The sequence below is a fragment of the Homo sapiens genome, chromosome 9, assembly GCF_000001405.40.
Source record: "Homo sapiens chromosome 9, GRCh38.p14 Primary Assembly".
Classification (NCBI taxonomy): Eukaryota; Metazoa; Chordata; class Mammalia; order Primates; family Hominidae; genus Homo; species Homo sapiens.
Genome location: NC_000009.12, coordinates 105,611,254 through 105,634,347, shown reverse-complemented (window position 1 = coordinate 105,634,347; position 23,094 = coordinate 105,611,254). Strand labels below are relative to the sequence as shown.

Genomic DNA, 23,094 nt, shown 5'->3' with positions numbered 1-23,094 from the left:
AGCCCGGCCAACATGACGAAACCCCATCTCTACTAAAAATACAAAGAAATTAGCTGGGTGTGGTGGCACACTCCTGTCGTCCCAGCTACTCAGGAGGCTGAGGCAGGAGAATCACTTGAACCCTGGAGGTGGAGGTTGCAGTGAGCCAAGATCACGCCACTGCACTCCAGCCCGGGTGACACAGTGAGACCCTGTCTCAAAAAAAAAAACAAAACAAACAGAAATTAAACCAAAACATGTTTCTTAAAGATCCTTTGGATCAAGTAAACTAAATTATGTATACTAGAAAAGAAAGCTAAAACTAGCAGGTCTGTTTAAGTTTATATTATAGCTCTGCTCTATATTCTGCATTTTTTTTCTGAGAAGTGTTTCAGTGTGGGAAGAACTTTCAGTAATGAGGTTTAAAGTGGCAATAGCAGAGATTACAGGAATTTAAAATATCAGAGGATTAAAGAAAGAACAGGGAAAAGCCAGATTTCAAAGTGTAATCATATTGTGGAAATGGGATCTAACTGGGATGTTCTCCAAGAAAAGGTCAGTTCTCATATATTCTGCCTTTGAATATCGTGTTTTACTACCAAATGAACATAAAGCCATACATGAAAAGGAGAGGCTGAACAAATTCTAAAGAAAGCAACAACTCCCTTTTACTCAAACCCAGTTAATGGACAATCCCAGCTGGCTACTGTGAAAAGGTGGCCACGGAAAATCTCATAGCTGAGAAATAAGATACAGCTTAGCCCCACCATCTGCTGGTCCCAATTTTACTCTGCACACTCATGTTAACGGAATTGCTTATTTTGTCATCACACCTAACAATCCATCACCAGCCTCCACCCTCTCTAATCAGATGCTGGTTAGCAGAATGTCCACCTGTCTTATCCTATCAAGTTGACACAATGAAGTTGAATTGAGGCAGAACTCATGGTCTATCTTGTAATACAGGCCAGGAAACTCCTCTAAGTATTATCCTTTGTGGTCTCATCAAAAAGCTGAAAGAGGGAAAAATAATAATAGATACAGGATAGATAAGGTGAAAGGGAATACTACAAATTTTACAAAAGCAATGTTTTGAACAATGAAGAATTTATGAGCAAAGCCAAAACATTTTAAATATATAAATAATGTGAAAATAATTCGAAGACAATTTAACTCAAATGTTAATTTTTGTACTTAACAGAAACCTCTCTAAACTCTTTGTGGTTTCCTTTTCCCCAATTATTTTTCAATCCATTCAGCAAAAAGAAAATCCCAGCTTCCTAAGAGGAAAGATAAACAAACAATAAAATGTAAAAACTGATTATAAAATAGGATTGTAGGGAGGAAGTGAAGGAGAGTGAATGACACAGAACAGCACATGCCATGCACTCTGTCCAGGCTACCAGTAAATAATGACTAAGACTAAAATACACCATGGGTCTGCAATGTTACCTTGGCTTTTAAAGCTAAGACTAAGTTCGGCTAAGCAGTTTGTACTTTAAGGCCCTGGGATTGGATCCAGCATGTGAACAGGTTTAAATGCAGACTAAGGCAACCCTAAATCAGAATATAAGTTTAAGAGATATTATTACCACAAAAAAATCCTTCCATCCATTTTCTATTTCATACCACTTTTATTTCATATTATTTTTACATAAAACAGTAGTTCAATAATTGGAATAGACCATTTTTTTCCCTCACAGATATCCTTAAAATCTATACAACTACTTGGTGGTAGTTGGATAATTTCATCAGTTTAATTACAATCAGTTTAAGCACAACCTATGAATACAACTGCTAAATGAAAAGGAAGTTCTTCCACTATCCCAGAACCAACAGTGTTTTATTATTACTAGGCTCAGAGAGATAGAGACAACATCAACTATAACTGAACCTGGCTTTTTTATTTATTTTATTTTTTATTTTTATATATATATATATTTTTTTTTATTATACTTTTAAGTTTTAGGGTACATGTGCACATTGTGCAGGTTAGTTACATATGTATACATGTGCCATGCTGGTGCACTGCACCCACTAACTCGTCATCTAGCATTAGGTATATCTCCCGATGCTATCCCTCCCGCCTCCCACCACCCCACAACAGTCCCCAGAGTGTGATATTCCCCTTCCTGTGTCCATGTGATCTCATTGTTCAGTTCCCACCTATGAGTGAGAATATGCGGTGTTTGGTTTTTTGTTCTTGCGATAGTTTACTGAGAATGATGATTTCCAGTTTCATCCATGTCCCTACAAAGGACATGAACTCATCCTTTTTTATGGCTGCATAGTATTCCATGGTGTATATGTGCCACATTTTCTTAATCCAGTCTATCATTGTTGGACATTTGGGTTGGTTCCAAGTCTTTGCTATTGTGAATAATGCCGCAATAAACATACGGGTGCATGTGTCTTTATAGCAGCATGATTTATAGTCCTTTGGGTATATACCCAGTAATGGGATGGCTGGGTCAAATGGTATTTCCAGTTCTAGATCCCTGAGGAGTCGCCACACTGACTTCCACAATGGTTGAACTAGTTTACAGTCCCACCAACAGTGTAAAAGTGTTCCTATTTCTCCACATCCTCTCCAGCACCTGTTGTTTCCTGACTTTTTAATGATTGCCATTCTAACTGGTGTGAGATGGTATCTCATTGTGGTTTTGATTTGCATTTCTCTGATGGCCAGTGATGATGAGCATTTTTTCATGTGTTTTTTGGCTGCATAAATGTCTTTTTTTGAGAAGTGTCTGTTCATGTCCTTCACCCACTTTTTGATGGGGTTGTTTGTTTTTTTCTTGTAAATTTGTTTGAGTTCATTGTAGATTGTGGATATTAGCCCTTTGTCAGATGAGTAGGTTGCAAAAATTTTCTCCCATTTTGTAGGTTGCCTGTTCCCGAACCTGGCTTTTTTAAACTTAAGTTTTACATTAACTCTAGAATTGGAGCAGTAGAGCCATTCTTGACAAGAATTTCCTACAAAACATAAATGGTTTATTCTCACTACCAATTTTTTCTCTTCTTTTAACTTTTAATTTCTTCTCATGTTATTCCAGTGCCTAAGCCCTCTAGCATATTGTTTAATAGAAGCAGGGCTAGCACACATTCCTAACGTTTTTCTGATTTTAATGGAAGGGCTTCTAAAGTTTTATCATTAAACATGATTGCTCACTCTAGGTTTTTGTTATATTCTCTTTATTAGGTAAAAGAAATTTCAGATTTTTTTGTTTGTTTGTTTGAGACAGTCTCGCTTTGTCACCCAGGCTGGAGTACAGTGGTGCGACCTCAGCTCACTGCAACCTCCACCTCTCGGGTTCAAGCAATTCTCCTGCCTCAGCCTCTGGAGTGGCTGGGATTACAGGCGCACACCACCACACCTGGCTAATTTTTCTATTTTTAGTAGAGTTGGGGTATCACCATGTTGGCCAGTCTGGTCTTGACCTCCTGCCTCAAGTGATCCACCTGCCTCGGCCTCCCTAAATGTTGAGATTACAGATGTGAGCCACCATGCCCAGCCTAGATTCCTTTTAATCCAAATTTGCTAAGAGGTCTCTCTCCTTTTGGTTAATTATAAAATTTATCAAAAAATGTTAATGTCATCTATTAAAACAATCATAGTGTTTTTGTTCCTTTAATCTTTTAATCCTTTAATACAGAGAATTACATTAATATGTACACACTACAAAATTCTATTCATTTAGTATTTTTTCACTGTATTCACTGAGACAGTAATTTCCCTTAAAAAATTTTTTTTGGTATTGTTCATGTCCACTTTTGCTATCACTCTCATAAAATAGTTATTTAGTTTTCTCTTTTTCTATTGCCTGAAATAAGCTGTACAATACAGGGATAATCTGTTCTGTGAAGGCACAGTGAAACTTTGCAGCAAACTTTCTAGGTTTTAGTATACTCTGGTAGGGAAAAGAGGGAGAAAGGAGGATTTCGGATTACTAATTCACTGTCTCGAATGAATATAGGTTATCTAGATCTTTTTGAGTTGATTTTGGTATTTATTTTTCTAGAAAATTTTATCATTTTCACATTTTAACTAATGATCACATTTATTGACCTAGTTATCTACCGCATTTTGTTTTGAGAGAGTTAATGTAACACAGCTGAGTATAAACTAAAGCCAGCCATCCCAGATTTTTCTTTTTTCTTTTTTTTAATTATACTTGAAGTTCTAGGGTACATGTGCACAACGTGCCAGTTTGTTACATATGTATACATGTGCCATGTTGGTGTGCTGCACCCATTAACTCGTCCTTTACATTAGGTATATCTCCTAATGCTATCCCTCCCCTCTCCCCCTACCCCACGACAGGCCCCAGTGTGTGATTGTGTGATGTTCCCCACCCTGTGTCCAAGTGTTCTCATTGTTCAATTCCCACCTATAAGTGAGAACATGCAGTGTTTGGTTTTCTGTCCTTGCGATAGTTTGCTGAGAATGATGGTTTCCAGCTTCATCCATGTCCCTACAAAGGACATGAACTTGTCCTTTTTTATGGCTGCATAGTATTCCATGGTGTATATGTGCCACATTTTCTTAATCCATTCTATCATTGATGGACATTTGGGTTGGTTCCAAGTCTTTGCTATTGTGAATAGTGCCACAATAAACATATGTGTGCATGTGTCTTTAGAGCAGCATGTATATATACATACACATAATGACTACATTAAAAACTATCAATTTAAAACAAGTACTAAAGTTTTCCTCAATGCCAGAGGACAAAGCCTTGGGACATAACTACATAACTTCCAAAAACTCTATAGCTCTACATAACCACATAACTTCCCAGAACTAGATCTAATAGCACTTCAACAACCAGTTAGACTCCAGTTGTGCTTGCTTTCCTTCAGACTTTTACAGGATTTCTCCTTGTATATAATGGATAATTTTTAAAAGAATTAAATTATAGTTTCAATTTTCATACTCAATACAAAAGGCTTTACTATCAGATTACACAATTTGTTTAATCATATGTGAAAGTCTCAAAGTTTATCATTGCAATTAGGTCTGCCCTGACCAAATTCATTGCTTTTGGTCCCATATATCCCTCTGTTTCAACCTGTGATCTCAGACCCTTTTTCTCTTAGCATCAGTTTTCTAAGTCACAAACTGTTTTTTATCTTTTTAACCTTTTTTAAGTTTAGTTTTTATTTTTTTGTAGACATGGGGTCTCCCTATGTTGCCCAGGCTTATCTTGAACTCCTGGGCTCAAGTGATCCTCTCACCGGGTCTTCCCCAAATGCTGATGGGTTACTGTGCCCAGTCTTAAACTTTTAAGGTAACTTCTTTTGAGGTATAAGTTAAGTATAATGAAATGCATCTATCTTAAGTGATGAGTTTTGATAAATGTATATACCTGTGTAACCACAATAATCAAGATATAGAACATTTCTACCAACCCCTCGTCCAAAGTTCCCTGTGCCCCTTGTCAGTCAAGCAATCAACCCACCCTGGTCCTAGGCAACCACTAATCTTATTACACTGTTGGTTGGTTTTTCCTGTGCAATTTCAAATAACAGCAAGTACACAGTATATACTCTTCCTATCTGACTTCTTTCACTTAGCATCATGTTTTAGAAATTCATCCATGTTATTGCATTTATCAGTAGTTCATTGCTATTCATTGTTCAGTGGTAGTCCATTGTTTGAATATATCATAATTTTATAACTAGTCACCAGAAGATGGGCATTTGGGTTGCTTCCATTTCTTGCTAGTATGAGTAAGACTGCTATAAACATCTGTGTACAAGTCTTTTACTGAAAATATGCTTTTATTTCTCTTAGAATACTATCCTATATAATATCTTATAGAATTATGTTCAAACAACAAACTATTCGACAGTTTTAAAAAACATAACTTACTTCACATAAATGAAAGATTTACTGCTTATTCATCTGGAGGCAATCTTCTCTTAAAAAAATAAACAAAGCTTGCTATATAAATAACTGCTACTTCTACATATTGTATAAGTATACAATTCCCATATAACATGCATTCAAAGTTCTTCCCTCAATTCCTCAATTTTGCACCTGCTACTTACTAGCGGTTTGGAGGTATAATTAAGGAGACCTAAGACATAATCTGTATGTTGTAAAATATAAACGCATAAACAGAGCAGAAAATACGAGATCATTCATAGAAAAGTCAATGTTTTAAATACACTCATTTAAAGAAATTATTCAAATTTGCCTTTAGCTTCACAGCTGTAAGTACTAAAAAGACAAATGTGTTTCTTGGAGTTACAACTGTAGGAGCACAGTATCAATCTGTGAAGCTGAGAGAGACAATGAGTGAGGATTCAACAAATACCTCTAGTCTTTTAACTTCTTGTGAAGCAGAATGATTGAAAACAACTAGGCTAACTTAATTCTATAGTTTTAATTCTCCAACCACGTTAGGTTGGATCAAGTCATCAACCCAGTGTCACCTTATCATCTTAACAAAACAGTGTAGACTACACTTAAGAGGATCTGACTTAGTTTCATGTAGGGCTCAGGTCTCACTTAGCCAAACATGTACCAGGCCTGATTTTATCTATCACATAGAAAGGACAGACAAATCAGCAAAAGTACTCCAATAAAGCATGAGAGAGGGAAAGAAAAAGAAAATCTATAGAAATGCAGAGGAAGAGAAGATTATTTCCAGATCAAGGTACCAAGAAGCTAGTTCAAACAGACAGCAACGTAAGGCCCTTGAATGAGCAGAAGTGGGACATGCAGTGATGTATGATAATCTAGTATTACTAGTGACAAGCTTAAAATCTTGGACCAAAATAAAGTTTCAAAAGGTAGAGTGTCTAAATGCAATGTGGTATCCTGGATTAGATCTTAGAACAGAAAAAGCACATTGGTAGAAAAGCTAGTGAATCCAAATAAAGTATAGAGTCTAAATTTGATCTTTACTTCATATTACATATAGAACAATAAAGTTTCTAGAAGGTAGTACAAGAGGAATAGCTTCATTATCTTGGGATAGGGAAAGATTTCTTAAACAGGACACGATAATACTACCCATAATAGATAAACTGAACTACATTAAAATAACTTTTTATTCACCAAAAATCACTATTAAGAGAGTAAAGAAGGGCTGGCATGGCAGCTCATGCCTGTATTCCAATCACTTTAGGAGGCCGAGGAGGGCAGATTACTTGAGGTCAGGGGTTTGAGACTAGCCTGGGCAACATGGTGAAACCCCATCTCTACTAAAAATACAAAAATAGCTGGGTATGATGGAATGTGCCTGTAATTCCAGCTACTTAGGAGGCTGAGGCATGAGAACTGCTTGAACCTGGGAGGTGGAGGTTGCAGTGAGCCAAGATCACACCACTGCACTCCAGCCTGGGTGACAACTCTGTCTCAAAAAAAAAAAAAAAAGAATAAAGAAGAAAGGCACAAATTGGGAGAAGATATTTTCAAGTAAGAAAAAGACAGACAACTCAGAAAAAAACCCTGACAAGATACTCAGCCAGTAACTCACAAAAGAGGATATCCAAATGGTCAGTAAACATGAACTTGCCTTCATTAAGTCAAGGAAAAAGAAATCTAAACTACAATTTGGTAACACTACACACCTACCAAAATGGTTACAAATTAAGAAGTCTGACAATGCCAAGCGTTGGTAAAAATGTGGGGCAATGGAAAGTTCTATAACATACTGGAATATAACTTGGAATAACTTTGGAAAACTATTTGTAAACAATATGCTGAAATTGAACACAAGAATACCCTACGACCAAGCAATCCCAAACTTTATGTGTAAACCCAATAGAAAAACATTGCTGTGGTTTGAATGTTTATGTCTCCTCAAAATTCATATGCTGAAATCCTAACCTCCAAGGTGACGGTATTAAGAGGTAAGACCTTTGGGAGGTGATTAGGTCATGAGGGTGAAACACTCAGGAATGGAAACTTTATAAAAAAGGCCTAAGGGAGCTTGATTGCTCCTTTCACCATGTGAGGAGAAATCAGCAGTCTACAACCAGGAGGAGGGCCTTCACCAGAACCTGACCATGCTGGTACCTTTATCTTGGACTTCCCATCATCCAGAAACCTGAGAAATAAATTTCTGTTTATGAGCCACCCAGTTTATGGTATTTTGTTATAGCAGCCTGAGCAAACTAAGATAAGCATGTACCAGGGCACTAAAAGACACGTACAGAAATGTTCACTACAGCATCACCTATAATAGCCCCAAATTGAAAACAACCCAAATATCCAACTACTATTTGGGTTAGTGGACTTAATAAATATTTGTGATATATTCATACAATTAACTACTACACAGCAAAGAAAATGAAGAGCCACAACATGTAAAAATATGGATGGTTCTCACAAATACAATGTTGAATGAAAAGAAGCCAGCAACATACCATCTAGTTTATATAAAATAAAAAAACAGGTAAAACTAAACTGTAATACCAGAAGTTAGCATCGCTGTTACCTTGTGGGAAACAGGAGCTATGATCGTGAGGGAAAATGATATGGGTTTCTGGGGTGCTGACAAATACTTTTTTTTTTTTACTGGGGTGCTGGTTACACATTTGTTCATTTGATAATTCTTGGAGCCATACATTTGCTTTGTATAGTTTTCTGTATGTATGTTACACTTCAATTAAAAACATAATAATCCACTATTTCCTAATTTTTCTCTAGCTCTAAGATTATAAACTTATATGTTATTTTGGACACTTAGTTTTCTTGGACTCCCCTTGTTCACAGCCAGGCATGGTGCTAAGTTCTTTTACCATTTCTTCCGGTCACCTCCTGTTTAGCATAGGTCCTCAACCACCCAAGTCTTCCTCACTATACCAGCTTTCCATGCCTACACACACTAGCAAGAACAATATTCCTCAACAGGACTTGTGTCTTACTACATTCTCCACCAAAAGCCTTATGAGAGAGATTCTTTATTACATCCAGTCAAAAACCCCACCAAACAACAAGACTTTCTGGCAATTAACCAGTTTACCAGCATTGCCAAATATCATCTTTACATGGCCCTAAGTCTCTTTTCCTAGAGGCAACCAAATCTAACTTAATAGCAATTCCCCATTCAACAATATTCATTCAAATTGTGCTGACTCAACCCTCACTTTCAGAGAAAACTTCCAAAGAATCAGTACTCTTTACACGTTTTTTTCCTATAAACTATATCTCTCTGCAGTTATATGTAATACAAGTTTATATTCATCTCTGTAACATTTGGTAGGCTTTAATTCACTACCATGTGATTTTTTTTCTAATTGCTACCTAGCAATGAATCTTCCTAATCAGACTTCTATGCTCTGCCTGCCTAATTTAGAATTAGCAAACAGTTGTGAATCTATTACGTGCCAAGCACTGAATCAGGTAACTACACAGTATTTAATCGAAGCATTATACCCTGTGAAGTACGCAGTGTTATTCCCATTTTAAGAGGAGAAATCTGAAGCTCAGAAGGTTATATGACACAAAAAAATAGAACTCAGATTTGAATTCAGGTCTTCTAATTCCTGGGCTCACTCAGCTAAAATCACACTTGTATAAAGCTTAAATATAAAAGTCTCTATATAATAAGTGTCTAACAAACACCTATAACAAGACATTCAAAATGCACTGTAATATTTTAAAGCTGGATTTTGAAAGGGAGACTGGGACGACAGGGAGGGGGTTAGATGTATACTAAAAGCCAGTTGATGTTAGGAATAGTTAAGAGAAAAGTAATGATTCTTTTTCTTTTTTTTTTTTTTTTTTGGTTTTGCTCTGTCACCTAGGCTGGAGTACAGTGGTGCAAATGTGGCTCACTGCAGCCTAGATTTCCTGGGCTCAGGTGATCCTACCGTCTCAGCCTCCCATGTAGTTGGGACCACAGACACATGCCACCATGCCTGGGTAATTTTTAAAAAATTTTTATATAAAGCCAGGGTTTATTCTGTTGCCCAAGCTGGTCTCAAACTCCCGTGCTCAAGCAGTTCTCTCACCTTGGCCTCCCGAAGTGCTGGGATTAAAGGCATGAGCCACTGTGCCTGGCCAGAAAGGTAATAATTGTTGGTAACTTGCTACTAATGACTGACCTGGTTTTATGATAGAAGATACCTTGGGATAATAAGAAGAAAGTGAAAAGAAAAGTTACTCAAAGAAACTATCAGGGGAGTCATGAATGACTGTGAGTACAATGCAACACTCAGTATGATATAGCAAACTAAGCATGCTCATTTATGTTGGTGACTGTATAAAATTTTGCATAACTTTTTAGGAATGCAACCTGGCAATATGTATCAAAACTCTTTAAAAGGCTCATATCTTTTGACTTAATAATTCTACCTTTGGGTATCTATTGAAGGAAACAACCCCTTAAAGTTTTTACTTTACGTATACAGATGCCCACAGAATTTTTTAAATTAAAAAATAGAAATAAACTAATTTAAAAATCATTAAATAAATCTATTTTTAGGACTTTTCCCACATTTCTCCTAAGTCTACCTAACAAATTTCTCTACTTGTAAGCCACACTTCTTTGCCATTGTTTCTAGATATGGCTGATTTGGTACTTCAACTATAGATTATACATATTTGATTACAGTACTGCTATCAGAGTACTTTAACATGTCTCATGGTCTAGATCATGAGATCCTTAAGAGCAGAAACTAAGTTACAGTCACATCAGTATCCTTAGCACATAGCAGTTGGTAAATACATTTTACAGAAATGAAGTGATAAATTACACAGGATCCACACCTGGATGGGAGTGTGGTCCACAGAGGATGAATCTGAATTTTCTGAAGATCTATCCAATAATCAGAAGCTGCAACTGTCAGAAGGTATAAGGAACCCACTACTAGCCCAAGGAGTAGATTTCCTATTAGAGGATGTAGCAGTAGTTGTATTACCCTGATAATGTTTTCATGGAAGGGGTATTAACAACATGATAGAGATCATGGTGACACTAACTTAGTAAGAACATGGGCTCTGAAGTGATACACACCTAGGTCTGACTCAGGTCTGCCTTAATTTGCTCATCCATAAAATAAAGGTGATGATGATAAAATCTCCTTTATAAACTTATTGTGAGGATTAAATAAGATAACACATATAAAAGCTTGGCATATTGATTGGCTTATAGTAAGTATTCAATAAAGTTAACTATTATTATTACCTTTCAAACTTCTGGCTTCTACCCATACCAGTTGATTCAAAATGGGAAGGAAAGAAGCAAACCAAATAAATCTAGGCAGCATCTTTAGGAAATGTGAAGTTGAATTAAGAACTTCACATTCTGGAGGCATAGTTATTATATTCATCACTTTTATTACTGGCAGATTTGGATGCTGGAGAAAAACAGAATAAAGAATCCAGTCAATATTTTTAAATGGAATTTGGATTTCAGGTAAAAGAAGGGCTTCCTATAAAGAAGTGAAAGACTGAGAACTAAAGACGGAATGAGTATCATGAGACGGAGGAAGAAAATATGCCTGCCTAGAAAATTACTAATCCAATTTACCACTGTGCTGAAAGTACCATACCTTATGCCAGTGCAGCATGGTAATTATAATAACAGTAACAGTAATAATAATAATACAGTACTGACAGTAGCTACTACTTACACAATACTTACAATGTGCCAGGTACTGTTCTAAATGCATTAGATGTACTAACTCACTTAACCTATTAACTCTAAGAAGAAAGCATTTAGGCTTAGGGGTCAAACAGGTCTGGCATTAAATCTTGATCTTGCCATTAACAGTCAAAAGCCTCGAGTAAGTTACTTCACTCTGAGCTTTAGTTTCCTAATGTCTAACTGGAGGTGAGAATACCGAACCCACAGGGATAGTATGAGGATTAACCAGATTATATATATAAATATATATATGAACTACCTATCACAGTGCCTGATAGGTAGCAGATATCCTGGAAGCTTTATCTTTTTTATTACTCTTAATATACTGTTAAATCTTAGGACCAAAGATATCATTCTATAGTCCTGCAGAGTAGTTTAGAAAGAAAATCTTTTTTCTTCCTTCTTGAGTTCCTCTTCTGCCTTTTAAAAAATAGTAAGCATTCTATATTATTAAGCTTTTCTCAGAATGAACTATATATAAAATAAAAAATAGGTTATTATAAAGACAAAAAGACCTTTGGAGAAGGTGAGATGATACATTATACTGACTAGTTTGAACAGTAATTCTAATGTGCTCCCAATTATATTTGGTGTATGGTAGATTTAGTTACTGATTACAAGTAATTGATAAGTTACTGATTAGTGGCAAATATTGAGCAAGTTTACCTCTCTTTACAGATAGTGCACTTTTAAAAAATAAACCCATATTCTCAAACCATGTGGTTGAGAATATAAATTGGGGAAACATCTTTGGAGGGCAATTTGGCAATATCTATCAAAATTGAAATATGCTTATATTCCCTTTAGCCCCAAAATTTGAGTCTAATACTTTATCCTGCACAGGGTTTCACACGTGTGCATAAAGACATATGGACAGAGATAGTGACTGCAGAACTGAGGGTCACAGTAAACTACTGGAAACAGCCTAAATATTCATCAATAGGGAATTGGTTGAATAAATTATGGTATTGCCATACAATGGAATAAAATGCAGCTATTTCTATACATACTCATTTGGAACATTTTCCAAGATACATAGCTATGTGAGGAAAAGAACATACAGACAGTGTGTAATATGCCATAATACTATTTGTGTAAAGGGGGAGAGATGAACGTAAATACTATATGTATACGAGCATATGTTTGTCTCGGAAAGGATACATAAGAAATGAGTAATCATGGTTATCTCTGTAAAGGGCAACTAGAAACGGGAAAATGAGGGGCAGAGGATGGAGAAAGGTTAACTTTTCATACACATCCTTTATATTCTTTGAATATTTTAACTATGTAATGTATAATCTATTCAAAAATTTAAAATACATTAAAAAGACCCTTGAACTAGCTTTAAACATTTTGTTTTTCTTCATCCCCAAGGAATAGTAGTGTTAAAAATACTACATTTTCTTAAAGTAAATAGTGCCGAAAAGAATAAAAATGGCATATGGCTGGGGGAATCTTCCAAAGAAACTACTCTACTCAGCCATCTCCTGTTCTTTTCTCTGCCTTTTAAGGTCACAGTAACATGATAGAAAATCTGGGACTCACACCATCTGTCCAGACAGTTCTATCACTGCTCATTTCTCTTGTTAAATAATCAGAACACTTCACACTTCCCAAACACTGCTACTATAAAGAGCTGTTAAAGCAGAATGAAAGAAGCTTTTTCTCTCCAGAAATGTAGTAGTTGGAAATGAACAGTTCTTTTGAGGTTTGCAGGTTTCGGATCATGTCAGTGAGAGAAAAAATTCAAGCCTTAGAAAGTAATTTAAGAATAACAGGACTCTAATACTGGCTCTAGAAATTATCTTTCTTAGAAAAAAGGTGACACTCTTACAGAAGTTCTCTAAGAATAGATGTAACAGTTTAATATTGAGATAATTATACATGTCTCTAATCTGTAAATTTCTCATGAGAATAAGAAGAGAAATAGTTTTCTTTACTACTACTACTACTACTACTACTACTACTACTACTACTACTACTATAGTAGTATTAGTAACAGCAGGTAATAATTACTTAGCACCCAGGACCTCCTGACACACCTCAAAGCTCTTTTTGTGTATTAATTCTTTTAATCCTTAAAACCACTCTATGTGGCAATTTCTACTATAATTTCCATTTTACAGCTGAGGAAACTTAGGCAGAGAGGTTAAATAACTTGCTCAAGGTAATATAGCTGGTAAAATAAAGAGCTGAGATTCAACAGCAATCACACTGGCTTCAGAATATCTACCTCTGAAGGTTATTTTGAGGACTAGATGGGTTAATATATGTAAAACGTTCAGAATAGTGCCTGACACACAGTAGTATTACTCAATGTAATGGATAAAATGATTACGTTCAGAAAATCTAAAGGCCACAAATTAGGGTGGAGCTAAGGTTTCCCAGGTCAGCCTGACTCTAAAACCCATGCTCTTCAGGTTCTCATTCTCATTCTCTCTCTCAGAACTGAGAATAGACCAGCTGTATCATCAACTTGGACTGACAAACCCAGGGACACTTCCTCCTCACAAACCGTCCTTACAGGTATTCTTACTTCACAGGCATAACTGGACTCTATGGGTAAGCTAAGAAAGTGTTAGCTAATAATGGAGTCTTGAAAGAGATTTTTGGTTTTCTTTTCAGTTACTTCTTTATTTCTACCTCCTGAAATTATTTCTGTAGTACCTTTATAAATAAGTACTTATTTGATTCATACTTGAATTTTTTTCCTGTTTTGGCCTGAGTGCCTCCATTCCACATGTGATCAGTTTCTTCATAGAAGAAAAAAACATCAAGTTTTACATCATCTTTTCCCTGGAAGGATAGTTCCAAGCTGTCTTCTACCTATGGGGAAGATGAAAACCTTCACACACTGAAACAAAGGAAATACATTTTTAAAAACCTTTTTTTAAAAAATAAAAATAAAGAAACAGATTCTTAAGTTTTACATACATAGAGTATTCATTCTAAGATGCACATTTTTTCAAGTTAAGGCACCTCTGAAATTGGGATGCATCAGTAACATATCATTTAATTTCTTAACTGCATCTAAAATAATGTTTCTTACAATTGATGATAACTCAGAGTAAATGACTTATGGTAATTATCACTGCAGAAAAAAAATAGAAATATCCTATTCCAGAGCAGCTTTCTGACTAAAAAAGGAAAAGAACCAAAGAAATATTATTTCCTTTAATAATCCAAATAAAACTATCAGGAAATAAGTCTCTCATAACAATCAATAAGTACTTAAGTAAAGTGGCATTCCTCATAGCCACATACATAAATAGTCTAGCTCATTATACTACACACATGGAAAAAAGAAAAAAATAAAAGTTAAGGTAAAAAAATAAATAATTCTGAGAACATTTCCCTAAAGAAAACTTATCATACAAATAATTACGTTCCCATTGGACTTGGTACATCTGTCCGCCACAGCACTCATCACAGAATTATTTATGCAGCCTTTCCCCCTCCCAATTAGACAGTGAGCTTCTCAAGGGTAAGAACTATCATTTATTCATCTTTGTCTCCCAGGTGCAGAGGACAGTGCCATACTTATAGTGAATGTTTGGTAAATGTTTGCTGAATAACTAGAGCTCTGTTATTTGACTTTGACCTCAGTAAAATATTTTATTTATATTTTTTAGTAACATAAAATAACTATTTATGATGGAAAAAATAATTTTCTGGTGACTAAACTTTTTTTTTTTTTTTTTAAGACGGAGTCTTGCTCTGTCGCCCAGGCTGGAGTGCAGTGGCGCGATCTCAGCTCACTGCAAGCTCCGCCTCCCAGGTTCACGCCATTCTCCTGCCTCAGCCTCCCCAGTAGCTGGGACTACAGGCGCCCGCCACCGCGCCCGGCTAATTTTTTTTGTATTTTTAGTAGAGATGGGGTTTCACTGTGGTCTCGATCTCCTGACCTCATGATCCACCCGCCTCGGCCTCCCATAGTGCTGGGATTACAGGCGTGAGCCACCGCGCCCAGCCGACTAAACATATTTTTACTTGCTTGTAGGGTAACACCTCCGAGGGGACAAGCAAATTAAGAACAAGATGATTGCAAGAGATCATGGGCTTAGGGCATAGGAATCAAATTGTCTAGAGGGAGATTTCATCTAGGCCCCAATGACCTATCCCTAGTTGATGTCTGAGCAAACTGCTATAGCCTAGGACATATAAGATAAACAAGAAATTGAAGTACTTATTTGAAATGATTCTATATTTCTATCCCTTAGCAATCAATGGAATATTTTATGTTGATAATGACATCTGTAAATTAAATGACTCATGAGAAACAATCAGGTACGGCGGGTGGGATTCTTACTTATTAATTGTATATTATACATTATATTGATTTTATATTACATTGTTGCCTAATATAATAGCAATACATTCACCTATAAGAGTTCAAGATCCTTCTTTTCTTATCATTATTGGTGCAAAAGTAATGGCAAAAACCACAATTACTTTTGCACCAACCCAGTAGAAAGCCAGATTTTCTTGCTTTTGCCTAGACAGTGCAGAAATTACAAGTGGTAACAGGCTTCTGCTGAACTCATCCTAGTCAATACTGAGTGATAAAATTATGTATGTAGCATTCTTAACCATATCTGAGTTGCTTAATGTAAACTTTACAAGTGAGATATGTTACTTATGAAATGAAGCCGACTTTTGTTACTGACCTTCCCAAATTTGTGTTTGAGCGGAAGTCCTGCATCCTGAAATGCTAAAATAATATCAGATTTGTAATCTTGTATAAAAATTCCTAGGTCAACATCTTTGCTATAAGGAATAATGTTGCATTGTCGATACCATCCTAAAAAGAAGATTAAATTTTTTTAACAAAATTTAGGTTTGGAAAAAATTAGTTATTATAACAAATTATATTTGTAACAAGGATTTTTTTTCTTTTTTTTTAAAGAGACAGAGTCTCACTATATTGCCCAGGCTGTACGCAAACTCCTGGCTCAAGTGATCCTCCTGCCTTGGCCTCTTGAGTGGCTGGGGCTATAGAATGGATTTTATTTCACAGGATTAGACTTAAGATGCTTCACCAAAATTATTTTTAAAAATTAAACCTCAAACTAAATGACTTTGTTTGAGCAGTCACCTGAACCTTCTATCTATCTATGTATCTATTTTTACTGTCTGAGCACTCTCAGCTTCCTCAAAAACTTTCATGATATATTTTAGTTTCTGAATAAACCATTAGCTTTAATAACACTAAGTTGCTGATAAGAATGTTTAATCATTAATCTCTAGTGATAGAGGGGGCTGTTAAGATATGCAAAAAATATTTAATTCTTTTGCTTAACCAATATATTTTTCTTGAGCAATAATTTGTAGAACCTAACAGCTCTCAACAGTGACCACCTGATGGGCCGTATGAAAAAGAAAAGCAGTAGCAGCTTCAATGTTCAACACACTGCCAAATGATATTTCTAAGTGTTTACCACGTATGTGCTCTAATTCATTGCTATAGCACTGTTCTGAAGAAATAAAACATGTACCTTAATATTATTAAGGACTCCTGGGTCTCCCCTATGATCTTTCTAATCATTTCATTCCAATTATTTCAAAAGTAAATAAATGACTGCGATTATCCTTATAGGCATTGCTGTTGGATAATATTGTTTGGAATTCTAAAATAATTCTATTAAAGAATTATAAACAATTAAAAATAAAAGTTTTCTTAAATATCATCTAATACAACTCCCTCATAAGTGCCCTTAAATCAGACAGAAAACCATGGGACTGAAAACTCAAAACAAATCATGTCAAATGACTATGAAGTGTCTTTGATGACACACATTATAAAACAATCTTGTTTCTAAAAAATTAAACCTTAAAGCAAATATCACATAAATGTGTGAGATGTACTTTTTTTTTTTTTTTGGCTTATTCTAGTAGTAAGCTCCTTGGCAGGAAGAACCATGTAAATTTTCAACAAAGGCTAATAGATAGGATAACCGTATATCCCAGTTTATGCCTGTTGTACCAACATAATTATTAATGGTGCTTCCTTTCACTCTCAAGTCTCTTGAATTGAACAATAAATTGGATGGCAACCCTATCCCTATAAAGGCAGGAGTTGAATTAACTTTTGTACAGATATGGTTACTATAAAGAAAAAGCAAATACAGCTATAATTAACTATCATGATAATCAAGAGACAACAAATAAACACAAAACAAAATTTAAGATTCTAAATAATTCTAAATTCCAAAGAAGTTTGATTTAATGGACAGTGGACAGAGACCCAGAAATCACTCACAGATTCTAATAGCAACCTGCTTAAGGACTGTAGAAAAGTCTGTATGTCCATGTCAGATGAACAGTGATGTCTAGTTAGTGATACTACCAATGACCTAGGAAAGGCTGATGGAAGACCTTATGACACTGTCTTTAATGTTCCTCTCAGTAGAAACATTTGGTGCAATGCAAGCTGTTTGAATGGTATATAAGTAAAGAAATAGAGGGTTTTTTATAATTATAAAAAAAGGCAATAACAATCTTTGGGATAGAAATAATAAAATGCTAATTTAAGGATTATCTGAGAATCAACTATAGTAGTCCTGCCATATCCGTGGTTTTGCTTTTAGCAGTTTCAGTTACCTGTGGACAACCACGATCTGAAGATATTAAATGGTAAATTCCAGAAATAAACAATTCAGAAGTGTTAAATCAAATCTTTCAGGGCTCAGATTTAGCCTCTGTGACACATTCCTTGATTTTCCCAGGAAATTTTCAATAGTAGACTAACACTACATCACAATGCCTACATCCTTCATCTCCCTTCATCTCATCATGTAGGCATTTTATCATCTCACACCATCGTAAGAAGAATAACAGTGAGTACAGTAAAATAAGATACTCTGAGAGACAGAGATCACACACAACTTTTATTATAGTATTGTTAAAATTGTTCCATTTTATTATTTATTGTTGTTCATCTCTTACTGTGCCTAATTTATAAATTAAACATCATATGTATGTATAGGGAAAGAGCAGCGTATATAGGGTTCAGTACTATCGGAGATTTCAGGCATCCACTGGTGGTCTTGGAATGTATTGTCCATGGATAAGGGGGGACTATTGTATAGTCTACATGTTCTGATATACATTTTATACATATTATTTATAATTATGAGTAAACACAACCATGGCCTTTCTAACATTCTTTTTTATAATTCTCAAATTAATTTCTTTAAGGAAATCAATAGATCCTTGCTGCATGCACTCATGTTTATTCTGTCTATACACATGACACTTCAAATGTCACTGATATTTTGTCATCTCAAGCAGTAATCCCTAAAGCCAGAGGACAAAATGACAGAAAGACAAATGGAAAGTCGTAAGAATTTTACCTAGACAAGTTCCACTGCTCAGCCAGAATGGTACTCCCAATTTGTTTAATGTTTTCGCTGCTAGTTGCAGTAATTCCTTTGCACTCTTCCGAAAGGCCACAGCTTCCACAGTGTTATCATCAAGGTACTGCTACAGATATAATAAATAGTCAGCTATTACAGCCATTTCTAAATTGCTAGGAACCTTTCTGTGGCATCTGAATTAAATTTGAAAATTAACCCCAGGCTGGGCACAGTGGCTCACGCCTGTAACCCCAGAACTTTGGGAAGCCAAGGCAGGTGGATCACTTGGGGTCAGGAGTTCAAAACTGGCCTGGCCCACATGGCAAAACCCCATCTCTACTAAAAACATAAAAATTAGCTGAGAGTGGTGGCCCGCGCCTATAGTTCCAGCTACTCGAGAGGTTGAGGCAAGAGAATCACTTGAACCCGGGAGGTGGAGGTTGCAGTAAGCAAAGATCACACCACTATACTCCAGCCTGGGCGACAGAATGAGACTGTCTCAAAAAAGAAAAAAAAAAAAGAAAGAAAGGAGAAAAAAAAGAAAACTAACCCCATATAATCTTTTTATATTATAAAAACCACATTTTACAGTTACTTGTTTGTCCCACATTAAAATGAACACTTAAGAGCAGATTCTTGGAGAGATAAATTAAAAGGGAAAGAATAGAACCAGGATTCCCAAAGGATGAGACATCCTTTTATCAGCTCCCTCCTTTACATCACAATTTAGTAGCTGGACAATCAGGATAAAATAAAGCTAATTATGAGAGCTACAAACATAGCTGAAACAAAAAGAATTTAATAATGTTTTCACCATTCAGTGATTCTATTGGTCTTTAGAGACTGTGTAGTATAGTAGAAAAAGCCTGAGATTTTGAATCAGATTATCAAATCTAGTGCACTTCTTTTTAGCTTTGACCATGTACATATCATCCTCACTTTCTATGAGGAAAGTGCATTCATTTTATCATTATATCTCCAGTGGGTAGAGTAGTGCCTGAGTATTTGCTGAATGAATGAAAGAATGTAATAAACAAATCTCTCTTGTATCTACTTTTCTCATTTGTAGTTTAAAGATAATTATTATACTTCACAGGACTGCTGTGAAGATTGAAGGAGAAAAATGTCTTGCAAATTGTCAGGTCATATATATCATTTAGTCATCTTGGTTTTCTGATTCTCTTCGTTTTTAGAGTGTTCTGGAGCTGAGGAAAGCACTATAAATTCTATAGTGTTGCTTCGCTACCTGTGGGACAAAATCTAAACTTCTTGTCCTGGTGGACATAAACACTGTGTTCTGGTTCCTGACTACTGGGGTCCAGCCTCATCTGCATCTCCTCACACTTCATCTTATAACTTGTAAACCCCCAAATATACCACAATAACTTGTAACTCCTCAAATACACCACAACTTTTCAAGCCTCCGCACTTGTTTCCTTTGTCTGATATGGCCCTGATCAATAAAATCTTTCAAGTCTCAGCTCCAACCTCTGCAAAACATTCCCCAGTTTTCCCAGGAAGACATATGTATTTATTCTTCCAATGTTCCTATTCAGGAAGTGTTTCTATTCAACATTTATAGAGCAAAGAATTATGTTTGGTTCTAGATATACAAAGACAAATGAATTATCTTTTTCCTTAACAAGCTTATAATAGTTACCACTTGTAAATACTTTTACTATAATTCATATCATATTTATTCCTAATCATCAATTTTATATTCCCTCCACTAGACTGTAAAGATAGTTCCCTGAGGGCAAGTACTACATCTCTTCATCACTGTATCTACAGGTTTAGAATGGTGCCTGGCACATAATATCTGAAAAACACATACTGATGAATGGGCAAATGAATAAATGATTGACTAAGCCCCTCCCAGGCCTGCAACATCCTAAAATATCCTGTAATTCTTTTACAATATAGTAGGAAAGAATATAGATCCTGGATGGACTATATGAATCTTAAGCAAAAAGTACCCTACCTTCAGTAAGAAGAATTTCTTGCAGATAAGTCACTGTCTACAGAATATACAAATTACACAGGATCCCTTCAATTTGAATACATCCCTTTCCTCAAAGCCATAAGTGCTCTTACAATAAATGACTGGAATGAGAGATACATGTTATAATGCTTGTTGTAGTAGGAAAAGCCTGGAGTTAAGAGGTGGAGACCTAGGATTTAGTCCATGCTCAACCAATGATGACCATGTAACTGACATCTTGAAACATCAATTTTCTTACCTGTTAAAAGAATCCTTGCCTTATTACACAGAGTGACTGAAAGGACTAAACAGCAAATATGAAAAATTTGTGCTCTACAAAAACATCAGGTCTGATAGTTACCTGCTGCTGGTACTGCTCCCATATGGACATATTCCCACCCCAATCTACTTTTCTTAACATGACACTCTCAGAAATTCCATTTCTTTTTTTTTTTGGAGACAAAGTCTCCTCTCTCTGTTGCCCAGGCTGGAATTTAGGGGCATGATCTTGGCTCACTGCAACCTCCACCTCCTGGGTTCAAGTGATTCTTCTACCTCAGCCTTCCAAGTAGCTGGGATTACAAGTGCACACCACCATGTCCAGCTAATTTTTGTGTGTTTTGTAGAGCCGGGGTTTCGCCATGTTGCCCAGGCTGGTCTCAAACTCCTGAGCTCAGGCAATCCACCCGCCTTGGCCTCCCAAAGTGCTAGGATTACAGGCGTGAGCCATGGCGCCCAGCCAGAAATTCCATTTCTCAGAACTGATCCTTGTATGTGTTAAAGTGCATACATGCATAGAGCTATATACCTTAAACATCTGCTATAAATTTTAAAAATTATAGTATACATACTTTTTTCATTTAAAAATATCCTGTACAAGATAGATTAAAGACTTAAATGTAAAACCCAAAACTATAAAACCCTGGAAGATAACCCAGGCAATACCATTTAGGACACAGGCACAGGCAAAAATTTCATGAAGATGCCAAAAGAAATTGCAACAAAAGCAAAAACTGACAAATAGGATCTAATTAAAATAAAGAGCTTCTGCACAGCAAAAGAAACTATCAACAGAGTAAACATATAACCTATGGAATGGGAGAGCATTTTTGCAAACTATGGTTTGCAAACCTTAACTATTAGGTCTAATATCCAGCATCTATCAGGAACTTAAACAAATTTTCAAGGAAAAAACCAAACAACCCCATTAAAAAGTGGGTGAAGGACACGAACAGACACTTTTCAAAAGACATACATGTGGCCAACAATCATATGAAAAAAGTTCAACATCACTGATCATTAGAAAATGCAATAAAAAACAATACGATACTATCTAATACCAGTCAGAGTGGCTACTATAACAAGTAAAAAAAAACTAATAAAATAAAATAAAATAAAATAAAATAAACCCCAGATATTGGTGAGGTTGTGGAGAAAAAGGAACACTTATACACGGTTGGTGGGAGTGTAAATTAGTTCAACCATTGTGGAAGACAGTGTGGTGATTCCTCAATGACCTAAAGACAGAAATACTGTTTGACCCAGCAATTCCATTATCAGGTATATACTGAAAGGAATATAAATCATTCATTCTCTTATAAAGACACATACATGTGTGTGTTCCCTGCAGCACTATTCACAATAGCAAAGGCATGGAATCAATCTAAATGCTCATCAATGATAGACTGGATAAATAAAATGTAGTATATATACACCATGGAATACTATGCAGCCATAAAAAAGAACAAGATCATGTTCTTTGCAGGGACATGGATGGAGCTGAAGGCCATTATCTTTAGCAAACTAACACAGGAACAGAAAACCTAATACTTCATGTTTTTATAAGTGGGAGCTAAATGATGAGAACACATGGACGCATAGAGGGGAACAACACACAATGGGTTCTTTTGGAGGGTGGGAGGAGAAAGAGGACCAGGAAAAATAACTAATAGGTACTAGGCTTAATACTTGGGTGGTGAAATAATCTGTACAACAAACCCCCACAACACAAGTTTACCTATGTAACAAACTTGCACTTGTACCCCTGAACTTACAAGTTAAAAATAAAATAAATAAGTAAACAAATAAAAATAAATCCCAAGTACAAATCTCAGGATTACTATACCTCTAAAAAAAGACAAAATTAATATCCTACTTTAAATATCATGTT

General features: G+C 35.8%; 1 protein-coding gene across 57 annotated transcripts in view; it reads right to left on the bottom strand.

Annotated features, from left to right (window-relative positions):
- The window catches only part of FKTN (fukutin), an 82,989-nt gene that overhangs the window by 6,771 nt on the left and 53,124 nt on the right, over nt 1-23,094 (bottom strand). For 18 of the 57 annotated variants that reach the window (XM_047422979.1, XM_047422974.1, XM_047422978.1 and 15 more), the window contains 3 exons: nt 18,941-19,070; nt 16,256-16,389; nt 14,287-14,414 (listed from right to left, as the gene is read on the bottom strand). The exons of 7 other annotated variants lie outside the window; for them this stretch is intronic. In XM_047422979.1, coding sequence (XP_047278935.1) covers nt 14,287-14,414; nt 16,256-16,389; nt 18,941-19,070 — 392 coding nt within the window. Of the gene's footprint in view, nt 1-9,941; nt 10,067-11,126; nt 11,299-14,194; nt 14,443-16,255; nt 16,390-18,940; nt 19,071-23,094 lie in introns of those variants that run through there. 32 more of the 57 variants (XM_017014462.2, XM_047422969.1, XM_047422967.1 and 29 more) reach the window with 11 other exon arrangements.